General features: G+C 49.2%; 1 protein-coding gene across 7 annotated transcripts in view; it reads left to right on the top strand.

Annotated features, from left to right (window-relative positions):
* Nucleotides 1-13308, top strand: part of PIP4K2B (phosphatidylinositol-5-phosphate 4-kinase type 2 beta) — a 33866-nt gene extending 20558 nt beyond the window's left edge. For all 7 annotated transcript variants that reach the window (NM_003559.5, XM_011525326.4, XM_011525327.3 and 4 more), the window contains 5 exons: nt 627-665; nt 1199-1312; nt 7727-7985; nt 8460-8563; nt 9228-13308. In NM_003559.5, the coding sequence (NP_003550.1) occupies nt 627-665; nt 1199-1312; nt 7727-7985; nt 8460-8563; nt 9228-9308 (597 nt within the window). In that variant the 3' untranslated portion in view covers nt 9309-13308. The remainder of the gene's footprint in view (nt 1-626; nt 666-1198; nt 1313-7726; nt 7986-8459; nt 8564-9227) is intronic.
* Nucleotides 13309-13512: the final 204 nt, after the last annotated feature.

The following is a 13512-nucleotide window of genomic DNA, read 5'->3' as shown; positions in this document are numbered from 1 at the left end:
TGAACCTGGCTTCTGACTTCTGTCACCTTATGCCGCCATCCCTTCCCTCTGTGCTGCAACTGGGCTGGTTTCCTCTGTGTTCCTGCAGTGCCTGTGCTCCTCTTCCCAGGATTTCACATCTGCTGTCTGGAATAGTCTCCTTCTCTCTCTCCACCCACTCCTTCCCCCACCTAATTGCTTCCTCCTTACCCTTCTGAGCTCAGCCCAAATACTACTTCCAGGAAGTAGGTAGGCCCTGGCCACTGTCCCTCCCCAGGCCGGGCCCGTGTGGTATGTGCTTTCAGAGTGTCCTGCTCCTCCCTGTACCACTGAGCACCGTGGTAGTGAATGAACTAATGACTTGTGGAACCACTGCTGAATATCTGTCTCCCCTGTTAGAAGGAAAGTAGCTCAAGGGCAGGGACTGAGCTTCTCCAGTGCAGTCCTGTTTGCTGAGCACCTAAAAAGTGTCTTGCACATAGAGCTCTATAAGTGGGCTTGACACAGTAAATGAACAAGGTGCTGCCTCCTGGCCCCTCTAGGACTCTAACAAGCCTACTTGAGTTCACCTGCTGGCTCTCCCATGTTTGCTCATGCAGTCGACTTTGCCTCAGCTTGACTTCCCCTGATGGCTCTTATCCTTTCAGGGTTCTACGGTTGCCAGAGAAGCGAGCGACAAGGAGAAGGTATGCTGGTGCTGAGCAGGAATGGAAGGGTCGCTTGGAGTCAGAAACAACTCCTGTCGGCCATCCTGTCCCTCGCCCACCCCAGCCCCTAGCCCAGCTCCCAGACATGCCGTCTGTCAACATGAAATGCCGTGTGTCATGAATCACCTGTCTGTCCTTGTGCTAGGCCTAGACCTTGGTCTCTGGTCTTTTACCTCTGCCCTCACTACGTTCTTCATAGTCCTGCTGGGATGGCAGACATTTCTATCTCATAGTCCAGCCTGAGTCAGTCAGTGGCTGCCTGAGCCCTGAGCTGGTCCAGGCTCAACAGGAAAGAATCCTTTAGTCATTCCTCATCTTTCATGTGTTTGCCCTCCCTGCCCACCCAAAGCCTGGGACTAGAGGCTCCTGCACTGCTGATTTAGCAGGTTGAGGGTCGGTACACTGACAACCCCTCCTTCCCCTTTCTGTATAGTTGCTCCCGGCAGAACAGTTGGGTGTCCCTGGGGTGAATTAATCAGGCTTACCCAGCCTAACTGCTGTTGCTCTCCTAGGCCAAGGACTTGCCAACATTCAAAGACAATGACTTCCTCAATGAAGGGCAGAAGCTGCATGTGGGAGAGGAGAGTAAAAAGAACTTCCTGGAGAAACTGAAGCGGGACGTTGAGGTACTTACTAACCTTCATTTTCACCTGCAAGGCTCCTTCTGTACCTAGAGTAGGCGCCTCTTAAACCTTAAGAAGAATGGAATTCAGTACTTTCCAGGAGTATGGACAAAAGGGTGGTGATTTGAGCAGCGTGGGCACTTATGGGCACCTAAAGCAAGTGCAAATGATCATTCCACCTGACGGAGCATAGTTGGCGCCAGTAGGACCTTTGTAATTTAGTTTAGAATGCTTTTCCCTTTTCACTAATTCATTCCAACACCTTTTTCAAACTCCCTTCTGCTGTTGTCCCTACAATGGAGAGGGCATCTGGCCATCAGAGCTGTAGGAACCCAGCTATTAAGGTCCTGTAACCCCAACATTTTGGGAGGCTGAGGTGGGAGGATCGCTTGAGCTCAGCAGTTCAATACCAGCCTAGGCAACATAGCAAGACCTCATCTCTACTAAAAATTAAAAAATTTAGCCAGGCGTAGGGGCACACACCTGTAGTCCCAGCTACTTGGGAGGCTGAGGCGAAAGGATTGTTTGAGCCCGGGAGATGAGGCTGCAGTGAGCTGTGGTCTCACCACTACACTCCAGCCTGGGCAACAGAGCAAGACATTGTCTCAAAACAAAAACCGAAAAAGTTGGCTAAGCATGGTGGCTTACTCTTGTAATCCCAGCACCTTGGAAGGGTGAGGCAGGAGGATCACTGGAGCCTGGCAGATCAAGGCAACATGAGCTGTGATCATGCCACTGTGCTCCAGCCTGGGTGACAGAGCAAGACCCTGTCTCAAAAAACAAAAATCCACTAATCAGGTTCTTCTCTGGCTCTGGCTCTGATTCTCCACTTACCTAGCAAACTTCTGTTTGTAATCTGGGGAGGACAGGTGCTAAATAGTGAAAATGTTATCTGGACCACTTGATAACTCAGCGTCTCCTTCTCTTTTAATAAATTGAGAGGCTGCTCGTTAAAACCAAATCCTACAAACAAACTTGGGAAAAAAAATTTTTTTTAATTGTGGTAAAATACATATAATAATAGGTGTTTTTTTTGTTTGTTTGTTTGTTTTGTTTTTTTTTAGGAGATTCTCGTTCTGTCCCCAGGCTGGAGTGCAGTGCAGTGGCACGATCTCGGCTCACTGCAACCTCCGCCTCCTGGGTTCAAGTGATTCTCCTACCTCAGCCTCCCAAGTAGCTGGGACTATAGGCACGCACCTTAACCATTTTGATATATAGTTGAGTGGCATTAAGTATATTCACATTGTTATGCAACCAGCACTACCATTCATCTCTGAACTTTTATCTTTCCCAGCTGAAACTCTATACCCATTAAATACTAATTCCCAATTCCCCCTCCCTAACCCCTGGCAATCAGTGTTCAATTTTCTGCCCCTATGAAGTTGACTACTCTAGGAACTTCACATAAGAGGAAGCAAACAGCCAAGCGAGGTGGCTCATGCCTGTAATCCCAGCACTTTGGGAGGCTGAGGTGGGCGGATCTTCTGAGGTCAGGAGTTTGAGACCAGCCTGACCAACATGGAGAAACCCAGTCTCTACTGAAAATACAAAATTAGCCGGGCATGGTGGTGCACGCCTGTAATCCCAGCTACTTGGGAGGCTGAGGCAAGAGAATCGCTTGAACCCAGGAGGCGGAGGTTGCGGTGACCCTCCAGCTTGGGCAACATGTTATGAATGAAACTCCATCTCAAAAAATAAAAAAAAAAAAAGGAAGCAAACAGCAGTTGTCCTTTTGTGACTCTGTTATTTTGCTTAGCATAATGTCTTCAGGGTTCATCCATACTGTATCATGTGTCAGAATTTTTTTCTTTTTATTATTTATTTATTTGTTTTGAGACAGAGTCTCGCTCTGTTGCCAGGCTGGAGTGCAGTGGTGCGATCTCGGCTCACTGCAACCTCCGCCTCCCGGGTTCAAGCGATTCTCCTGCTTCAGCCTCCCAAGTAGCTGGGACTACAGGCGCGTGCTGCCACGCCCAGCTAATTTTTGTATTTTTTTAGTGGAGACGGGGTTTCACCATGTTGACCAGGATGGTTTCGATCTCCTGACCTCGTGATCTGCCTGCCTCGGCCTCCCAGAGTGCTGGGATTACAGGCGTGAGCCACCACACCTGGCCAGAATTTCTTTCTTTTTAAAGCTGAATAAGGCTGAGCATGGTGGCTAACACCTGTAATCCCAGCAGCTCAGGAGGCTGAGGCAGAAGGACTGCTTGAGGCCAGAAGTTGGAGACCTGGGCAATTTACTGAGATCCTGTCTCTACAAAAAATTAAAAACTAGCTGGGTGTGGTGACATGTGCCTGTAGTCCTAGCTATTCAGGAGGCTGGGTGGGAGGATCCCTTGTGCCTAGGAGTTCACGGTTGTGGTGAGCTATGATCATGCCACTGTGCATCAGCCTGAACTAGAGGGTAAGACCCCATCTCTTTAAAAAACAAAACAAAAGCTAGGCGCGGTGGCTCACGCTTGTAATCCCAGCACTTTGGGAGGCCAAGGCAGGCGGATCACGAGGTCAGGAGATCGAGACCATCCTGGCTAACACGGTGAAACCCCGTCTCTACTAAAAATGCAAAAACAAAATTAGCCAGGTGTGGTGGTGGGCGCCTGTAGTCCCAGCTACTCGGGAGGCTGAGGCAGGAGAATGGCATGAACCCGGGAGACGGAGCTTGCAGGGAGCCGAGATCGTGCCACTGCACTCCAGCCTGGGCGACAGAACGAGACCTCATCTCAAAAACACACACACACACACACACACAAAAACTGATTAATATTCCATTGTATGGATGTATTACATTTTGTTTATTCATCAGTTAATGGACACTTGTTATATCAGTTGGGGTTCTCCAGAGAAACAAAACCTATAGGATGTTTTGTAAATCTCTTTATACCAAGATATTTATTTTTTATTTTATTTATTTATTTTTTTTGAGACAGAGTCTTGCTCTGTCACCCAGGCTGGAGTACAGTGGCGCGATCTTGGCTCACTGCAAGCTCCGCCTCCCGGGTTCACGCCATTCTCCTGCCTCAGCCTCCCGAGTAGCTGGGACTACAGGCGCCCACCACCATGCCCAGCTAGTTTTTTTTGTATTTTTAGTAGAGATGGGGTTTCACCATGTTAGCCAGGATGGTCTTGATCTCCTGACCTCATGATCTGCCTGCCTCGGCCTCCCAAAGTGCTGGGATTACAGGTGTGAGCCACCACGCCCGGCCCTAAGAGATTTATTTTAAGGAATTGTTTCATGGGATTATGGATACCAACGAGATCTGCAGTCAGCAAGCCGGAGGCCCAGGAGAGCTGGTGGTGTGGTTTTATTCTACAGGCCATCAGGCCACCAGGCAGAAGGAGTTCCCTCTTCCTCACCGGAGGGTCACCCTTTTTCTTCTCTTCAGGCCTTCTGCTGATTGGATGATGCCCATCCACACTGGGGAGGGCCATCTGCTTTACTCAGTCCACCAGTTCAATGCTCATTTCACCCAGAAACCCTCACAGACACACCCAGAATAATGCTTGACCAAGTGTCTGGGCACTCAGGCCCAGTCCAGCTGGCATATACAATTAGCCATCACACTTAGGTTGCTTCCACCTTGTAGCTGTTGGGAATAATGCTACTGTGAACATGGGTGTCATAAACTTCGTTTTGCTAGGAAGCGTTTCCTTAGTCACCCCCAACTATGTTCTTTCCTTATTCTGCCTTTCATCATCTGACATTATTTGTCCTGAGTCTTTGTCCTTCTCCCTTTTCTACCCTCTCCCCCTACTGTGGTTCTGAGAAGAATTTAATGCAGTTTACTCAGTGCATTTGTTTTCAATGCATGTTGCTTTATAAATGTTCTCAGGTGGGTGGAGGGCATGGTGCATGGACCTTCTTTTTCCTGGGACCCTAGCCCCTTCTCCCTGGGCCTTGAGAAGGCTTTGTCTGGAAGTGCTCAGAGTGGCATCCCTCCCTCCCTTCCTCTTCCAAGGAGATCCTGCTGGGCTCCCATCTTTAGGGCTCCTTGTCCTTAGTTGTGTTCTGGGCTCGTGCATAGAGCTGCTCTGCTTCCATGATGATTCTCCTCCTAGTTCTCTGTTAGGACCTAACATGGTGGTCAGTCTAACAGTCTCCTAGTGACCACTGTATGATGGTGACTGCACTCTTGCCTCATTATTAGCTAAACTGGAATGCTAGCTGGCCATTTCCATCCTGTATCATTCCATACTTTGTCTTGAAATCCTAGATAAAAGACTTGAACCACCACCCTGCTCACAGCACCCATTATACAGATGAGAAAACTAAGGCTTGGCAAGGGGAGTCACATGATGCTAGGGGAGGACTTTCCCCCAGCACCACACAGCCTCTTTTGACCTTCAGGGAATGGGTTGAGAATATTGGTTGGTTCTGGCTGCCATTCTTGTATGGTTTTGTGTTCCCTTTTCCTTTTTTTTCTATTTTTACCTGGGCTGAAAAGTCGATGACATAGTTTTTTCAGACTTTGTCTCTGAGGCCAGTTAGAAGTATATTTTACCTTGCAACCCAATGGATACACACAACTGAAACACTGTCTACCCTTATTTTCTGTCATGTATTCTGATATTTTCTATTCTATTTTATTATACAGTAGTCCCCCCTTATCAGCAGGGGACATGTTCCAAGATCCCCAGTGGACGCCTGAAGCCACAGATAGTACTGAACCCTGTATATACTATGCGTGAATTTTTTTTCCTTCTTCACAATTTCACGGATAGAAGATTTGTTCTTACAGGAGATCTTAGCAACCTCAGCATGCAATTTATTTTCTTTGTAAGTCAAGAGCTTTCACCTTTTCACTTAAAGCTGGCCAGGTGCAGTGGCTCACACCTGTAATCCCAGCACTTTTGGGAGGCTGAGGCAGGTGGATCACTTGAGGTCAGGAGCTCGAGACCAGCCTGGCCAACATGATGAAACTGTCTCTACTAAAAATACAAAAATTAGCTGAGTGTGGTGGTGCATGCCTGAAGTCCCAGCTACTTGGGAGGCTGAGACAGGAGAATCACTTGAACCTGGGAGGTGGAGGTTGCAGTGAGCCGAGATTGCACCAGTGCACTCTAGCCTGGTGACAGAGCAAGACTCTGTCTCAAAAAAAGAAAGCACTTTATGGCTTCTCTTTGGCATATCTGAATTGCCAACATCACTACTCTTGCTCTGTGGAGTCATAATGAAGTCAAATATGGGTTACTTGAATACAAGCACTGTGATACAACTATAGTGAACTGATAACCAAGACAGCTACGGACAGCTACTGAAAGACTAATGGGACGTTAGTGCATACAGTGTGGATATACTGCACAAAGGGATAATCTGCATCCTGGGCAGCACTGAATGGGACATAGCAAGATTTTATCATGCTACTCGGAATGGTACACTATTTAAAAACTTATGAATTATTTCTGGAATTTTCCATTTAATATTTTTGGACTGTAGTTGACCACAGGTAACTGAAACCATTGTGGATAAGGGTGGACTACTGCATTTAATTTAAAGAAATCCTAGTTCCAGCCCACTACATTGGGTTTAGGACTCATAATGGGTTGAAATTTTGATCTGAAATATATTGTTGTGTCATATCCATCGCTCCATCCTCTTCCATAGTATATCATTTCATTATTTCTTTCCTCAAACTTGGCCATGGCCTCTTTTTTTAAAACAAGAGACAGGGTCTCACTCTGTTCCCCAGGCTTGAGTGCAATAGTGCCGTCATAGCTTACTGCAGCCTCAAATTCCTGGGCTCACGCGATCCTCCCACTTGAGCCTCCCAAGTAGGTAGGACTACAGGTGTGCACTGCCACGCCCAGCCAATTTTTAAATTTTTTTGTAGAGATGGGGTCTCATCACGTTGCTGAGGCTGGTCTCAAACTCCTGGCCTCAAGTGATCCTCCTTAATTGGCCTCCCAAAGTTCTGGGATTACAGGCATGAGCCACCGTGCCCAGCCACCATGGCCTCTCTTGATCCCAAACCGTCATGGGCTGTTCCCTCTTCCTGCAGTGCTCGTTCTATCTTTAACCTGCAGTACTTGCCTCACTGACTCCTCTTCATCCTTGGCCTCAACTCCTTTCTTCAGGGAGGGTCTTGCTCACCCCTCACTGTAAACTCCCACAGCTCCTTGCTTTTTTTTTTTTTTTTTTTTTTTTTGAGACCATCTCCCTCTGTTACCCAGCTAGAGTGCAGTGGTGTGATCACAGCTCACTGCAGCCTCGACCTCCTGCCTTTCCCCTGCTGAATGACTGTCTTCCCCATTAGAGAGAGCTCGCGAGGGCGGGTGCTCTGATGCCTTACTCTCTGTTGAATTTCAAAACTGTTTGTAGAATTGAGTTGAAAGGAATGCCTTTCCCCCCTTTCTGGATGTCACTGGGATGTCCTGTGTAACCTCTTCTTCCTTCCATCTTTCCATCCTTGCCCTTCCTAGTTCTTGGCACAGCTGAAGATCATGGACTACAGCCTGCTGGTGGGCATCCACGACGTGGACCGGGCAGAGCAGGAGGAGATGGAGGTGGAGGAGCGGGCAGAGGACGAGGAGTGTGAGAATGATGGGGTGGGTGGCAACCTACTCTGCTCCTATGGCACACCTCCGGACAGCCCTGGCAACCTCCTCAGCTTTCCTCGGTTCTTTGGTCCTGGGGAATTCGACCCCTCTGTTGACGTCTATGCCATGAAAAGCCATGAAAGTAAGTCAGAGCCTGCGCCTGCTCTGCACAGCCCTGCCCTCATCCTACCCCCTCAGCTCATTGTTTAGATCCTTCTAGGGGCATCTGGACCTCCACCTCATTCATTGCTGCCTTTGACCTCTTTCTGCCTCCAGATTCCCATCCAGGGTCACCACCTGAACCTGGGGCTCCTCCTCTGCCAGGCTTTCCTATACTTCCCTGCTTGTCCTGGCTGACTGAAGAGTGGTTCTGCTCTGGTTCATGAGATGAACCAAACTTTATTCATACTGTCCTGTCAGCCCCACAGAGTGACTGTGAAGATCCAATAAGATAAGAGCTATGACAGCTGGAAAGGACTCCACTGGTCCTTTTCTCAGCCCCAACATGATAAGGATGGAGCTGAGCCTTGTGTCTGGGGGTTGTAGCAGTGCCCAGCTGCTGTCTGCCCTTCTCCTGCCCCCTCTTCCTTCTTCCCTGCTCTCCTTGTCCCTCCAGGTTCCCCCAAGAAGGAGGTGTATTTCATGGCCATCATTGATATCCTCACGCCATACGATACAAAGAAGAAAGCTGCACATGCTGCCAAAACGGTGAAACACGGGGTGAGTCCTCTCCATCTTCATCCAGGGCCCAGCTGGGTCGGTGCATCTGTGCTTACCCTCAGACCCCAGGGAGGGCAGTCTCAGGCCTCCTGCTCCAAGGAACACACTCCTGTCTCCTTCTTCCCAGGAGAGCAGACTGGAAGAGCAGCCTGCCTGCCTTGCCATGTTCCCTGCCTTCACCCACCTGCTCCCTGCCAGGCTGGGCCCAATTTGTTTATCCCCCAGTTCTCCAGCCCTCGGGGCCAAGCCTGCCAGTGTCTTTCCCCAGGGCCTGCTGGGCCTGTTGTGCATCTTGTTGAAGGGCGAGTAATAGCTTTGTTTCCATGCCCATACTGCTCCCCACAGGCCTGTTTCCCTGTGGGCCTGAAGCCCTGTTCTCCATGTAGTGGCCCCCACAGAGATCCAGAGCCGCGTTGCCACCTCCCCACTGCCTTTCTTCTACTTCGGTGCAGGCCTGGGGTTATAAATCACAGGAGTGGGGCCAGGACAGTTCAGGACTTGTATGCCACTTCCTGAGGTGGTCTGCTCAGTCTTGGTGGGGTTGGGGGTGGTATTCAGCTCTGATACTGAGTAAGAGGCTTCTGAATACCCTGGCTCCCCCCATGTGCAGCCTCCTGATTGGGGCACAGGAACTCAACCTGAATCAGCCTCTTGTGTATTACAGGCAGGGGCCGAGATCTCGACTGTGAACCCTGAGCAGTACTCCAAACGCTTCAACGAGTTTATGTCCAACATCCTGACGTAGTTCTCTTCTACCTTCAGCCAGAGCCAGAGAGCTGGATATGGGGTCGGGGATCGGGAGTTAGGGAGAAGGGTGTATTTGGGCTAGATGGGAGGGTGGGAGCAGAGTCGGGTTTGGGAGGGCTTTAGCAATGAGACTGCAGCCTGTGACACCGAAAGAGACTTTAGCTGAAGAGGAGGGGGATGTGCTGTGTGTGCACCTGCTCACAGGATGTAACCCCACCTTCTGCTTACCCTTGATTTTTTCTCCCCATTTGACACCCAGGTTAAAAAGGGGTTCCCTTTTTGGTACCTTGTAACCTTTTAAGATACCTTGGGGCTAGAGATGACTTCGTGGGTTTATTTGGGTTTTGTTTCTGAAATTTCATTGCTCCAGGTTTGCTATTTATAATCATATTTCATCAGCCTACCCACCCTCCCCATCTTTGCTGAGCTCTCAGTTCCCTTCAATTAAAGAGATACCCGGTAGACCCAGCACAAGGGTCCTTCCAGAACCAAGTGCTATGGATGCCAGATTGGAGAGGTCAGACACCTCGCCCTGCTGCATTTGCTCTTGTCTGGATTAACTTTGTAATTTATGGAGTATTGTGCACAACTTCCTCCACCTTTCCCTTGGATTCAAGTGAAAACTGTTGCATTATTCCTCCATCCTGTCTGGAATACACCAGGTCAACACCAGAGATCTCAGATCAGAATCAGAGATCTCAGAGGGGAATAAGTTCATCCTCATGGGATGGTGAGGGGCAGGAAAGCGGCTGGGCTCTTGGACACCTGGTTCTCAGAGAACCCTGTGATGATCACCCAAGCCCCAGGCTGTCTTAGCCCCTGGAGTTCAGAAGTCCTCTCTGTAAAGCCTGCCTCCCACTAGGTCAAGAGGAACTAGAGTACCTTTGGATTTATCAGGACCCTCATGTTTAAATGGTTATTTCCCTTTGGGAAAACTTCAGAAACTGATGTATCAAATGAGGCCCTGTGCCCTCGATCTATTTCCTTCTTCCTTCTGACCTCCTCCCAGGCACTCTTACTTCTAGCCGAACTCTTAGCTCTGGGCAGATCTCCAAGCGCCTGGAGTGCTTTTTAGCAGAGACACCTCGTTAAGCTCCGGGATGACCTTGTAGGAGATCTGTCTCCCTGTGCCTGGAGAGTTACAGCCAGCAAGGTGCCCCCATCTTAGAGTGTGGTGTCCAAACGTGAGGTGGCTTCCTAGTTACATGAGGATGTGATCCAGGAAATCCAGTTTGGAGGCTTGATGTGGGTTTTGACCTGGCCTCAGCCTTGGGGCTGTTTTTCCTTGTTGCCCCGCTCTAGACTTTTAGCAGATCTGCAGCCCACAGGCTTTTTTGGAAGGAGTGGCTTCCTGCAGGTGTTCCACCTGCCTTCGGAGCCTGCCACCCAGGCCCTCAGAACTGAGCCACAGGCTGCTCTGGCCAGGAGAGAAACAGCTCTGTTGTTCTGCATTGGGGGAGGTACATTCCTGCATCTTCTCACCCCCTCAACCAGGAACTGGGGATTTGGGATGAGATATGGTCAGACTTGTAGATAACCCCAAAGATGTGAAGATCGCTTGTGAAACCATTTTGAATGAATAGATTGGTTTCCTGTGGCTCCCTCCAAACCTGGCCAAGCCCAGCTTCCGAAGCAGGAACCAGCACTGTCTCTGTGCCTGACTCACAGCATATAGGTCAGGAAAGAATGGAGACGGCATTCTTGGACTTCACTGGGGCTGCTGGATTGGATGGGAAACCTTCTGGAAGAGGCAGATGGGGGTCAAACCACTGCCTTGGCCCCAGGAAGGGGCCATAGGTAGGTCTGAACAACTGCCGCAAGACCACTACATGACTTAGGGAACTTGAAACCAACTGGCTCATGGAGAAAACAAATTTGACTTGGGAAAGGGATTATGTAGGAATAATGTTTGGACTTGATTTCCCCACGTCATAATGAAGAATGGAAGTTTGGATCTGCTCCTCGTCAGGCGCAGCATCTCTGAAGCTTGGAAAGCTGTCTTCCAGCAGCCTCCGTGGCCTCGGGTTCCTACCGGCTTCTCTGCATTTGGTCTGCTGATCATGTTGCCATAATGTGTATGGAAAGTGTAACACATTCTTACTGGTTAAAGACGACTACCAGGTATCTAACTTGTTTAACATTGAGTTTGTGTGTGTGTGTGTATGTTTGTGTGTTTTGTATATTGTTTACATTTTGAGAGGTAGCATTCTGTTTCAAATGCTTTTTGTTTTTCTGACAGTATTGTTGACTGGGTCATAACATTTTGAGCTGTGGTTTGGTGGATTTTCAATTTTTTTTTTTAAAGGTCATTCGCTGTGCTATCTTCAAAACCTTGAGTTTGGCCCCCAATTTTTGGCATTCAAATGTTTAAAAGCTATTTATCTTGGTTTATACAAGTTTCCTTTCTCTTCTTTTTGTCATGGTATTCTATTTGGTCTGCAGTTTGAATGTAGAGAAAGTGGACTGATCCCCCAAGCGTTGTCTGCCCCCACTCTTTCCTCCTTGGGTCCCGCCATTCTTTTACTGGGCAGTCGAGGGCATTGGAGGGGAAGTGACTGCCCTCAGCCTCACTCCCTGGGGCCATGAAGAAAAGCTAAACAGTCTCATGGCATCTCAGAATAATGTTGGGTCTCCCAAGAAGAAAGGTGTAAGAATAACGACATGGCTGATTAGGCGAGGCCAGGATAGGGCTAAGGCCAGGATTCCTGGCTGGCATCCAGTCACCCCTTCTCCCATCCTTCCCCCTCTTCTTCCACAAGTCCGCAGCCGAGACACTGTAGTCTCCCAGCCACAGTGATGAGTGCCCTGGAGACTCCACTGACCTCTAGATGAAGGCCCCTGGCCCTGGTTCCTGTTAATTAACCTCTGGGTCTTTGAGTCCCCCAGCACAAACTTCTTTCCTGTACCCTGCGGCTTGGGGTCACAGGGCATGCCGGGAAGCCACAGCTGAGGGGCGCAGACTGAAGCAGTGCTCCACCTCTCCTTCTTTAGCTCAGGGGTTGCTGGTCTGTGGCAGGCGCCACGAGTGGCCCCTGTGGCTGTTCTCAGTGGCAGTCTCTTAAGTTCCCACCACAGGCAGCTCTTTATCCCCTCTCCCTACTTGACTCTTTCTCTTGCCTGTGCTTTTGGCCTCAAACAGGCCTGCTGGTAGCGCTCAGGGCGTGAGGCTACACTCCTGCCCTGCCTTTCCTGTCTTCATGGTCTGCCAGGGCATACCTTGGGGAGGTGGACCAAAGACCCAGGACTTTTTGCAGTAGCCAGTCCTACCCCCCAGTTGTCTTTTTACCAATTCAGGGTGGGAGAGAAAACTGCAGCACCCCAGCATGTGAGTTACTCAGGTGTTGGGGGCTAGAAGGGACAGTGCGTTTAAACAACACTCAGAGCTCTGGCCTTAAACCTGTGGCCCCCCAAGTCTAGGAGCCTCATCTCTTCCTGGCAGTCATGCGGGCAGGAGGTCCTGAAAGGGAAAACCCATTCAGACAACTGTTCCCCAATCTACCAGCCATCTGCAGGGGTCAGTGACCGTGGCCCTCTCCCTCCTCTAGAATGTGCCACTTATGAAGAGTGCCCCATGGGGAAAAGGAGACTCAGCTGTCCCTTGGCAGCTTGTGCCAGTATCCCAGGGCAGAAGTTTCCACAGGAGCCTCTTGCCCTTGCGCAGAGCCACTGTGAGAGGCGGTGGGAGCCAACACCCTTGGGGGAGGGGGCAGTACTGCTCGGCACATCCCAGCATCAGGTCAGATCATTGAAATTAAAAAATGTGAATTAAGTTCATATCCACCTTTTGGGGAAGCAGGACAAACCACCACCCCACCAAGTGTGTGACTTCTCCATATCCCACTGCAGTTTCCATTTTTTAAATGGGAATTTTCAATCCCCTGTGCTTGTCTAACGTCTGCTTTAAAAAGTTTGAGACCCTGTTACTGTTTGAAAATGCATGCATGTTACGATGAATCTCCAACCTGAGGAAAAAAATAAAACTCAAAAAGCTTTGTGTACATCTGTTATGTGTGAGTCCTTGGGAAATGAACCTTTTTTTTTTCTTCCCAGAATTAAAAAGTTTTGGTCCTAGCTTTAGAGGCAGCTTCGGCTAAATCAATGTATGGCTTGAGTTTGGAGAAAGAATATGGTCAATGACATCCCGCTTTCAGATGCAATTAATAAACAGTGGTTAAAAGCACAGCACCACTGGCTGGGTTTGG

The sequence above is a fragment of the Homo sapiens genome, chromosome 17 (assembly GCF_000001405.40).
Source record: "Homo sapiens chromosome 17, GRCh38.p14 Primary Assembly".
In the NCBI taxonomy this organism is placed as follows: domain Eukaryota; kingdom Metazoa; phylum Chordata; class Mammalia; order Primates; family Hominidae; genus Homo; species Homo sapiens.
Note: the sequence above shows the minus strand (reverse complement) of the source record. Positions and strands in the feature narration are given on the sequence as shown.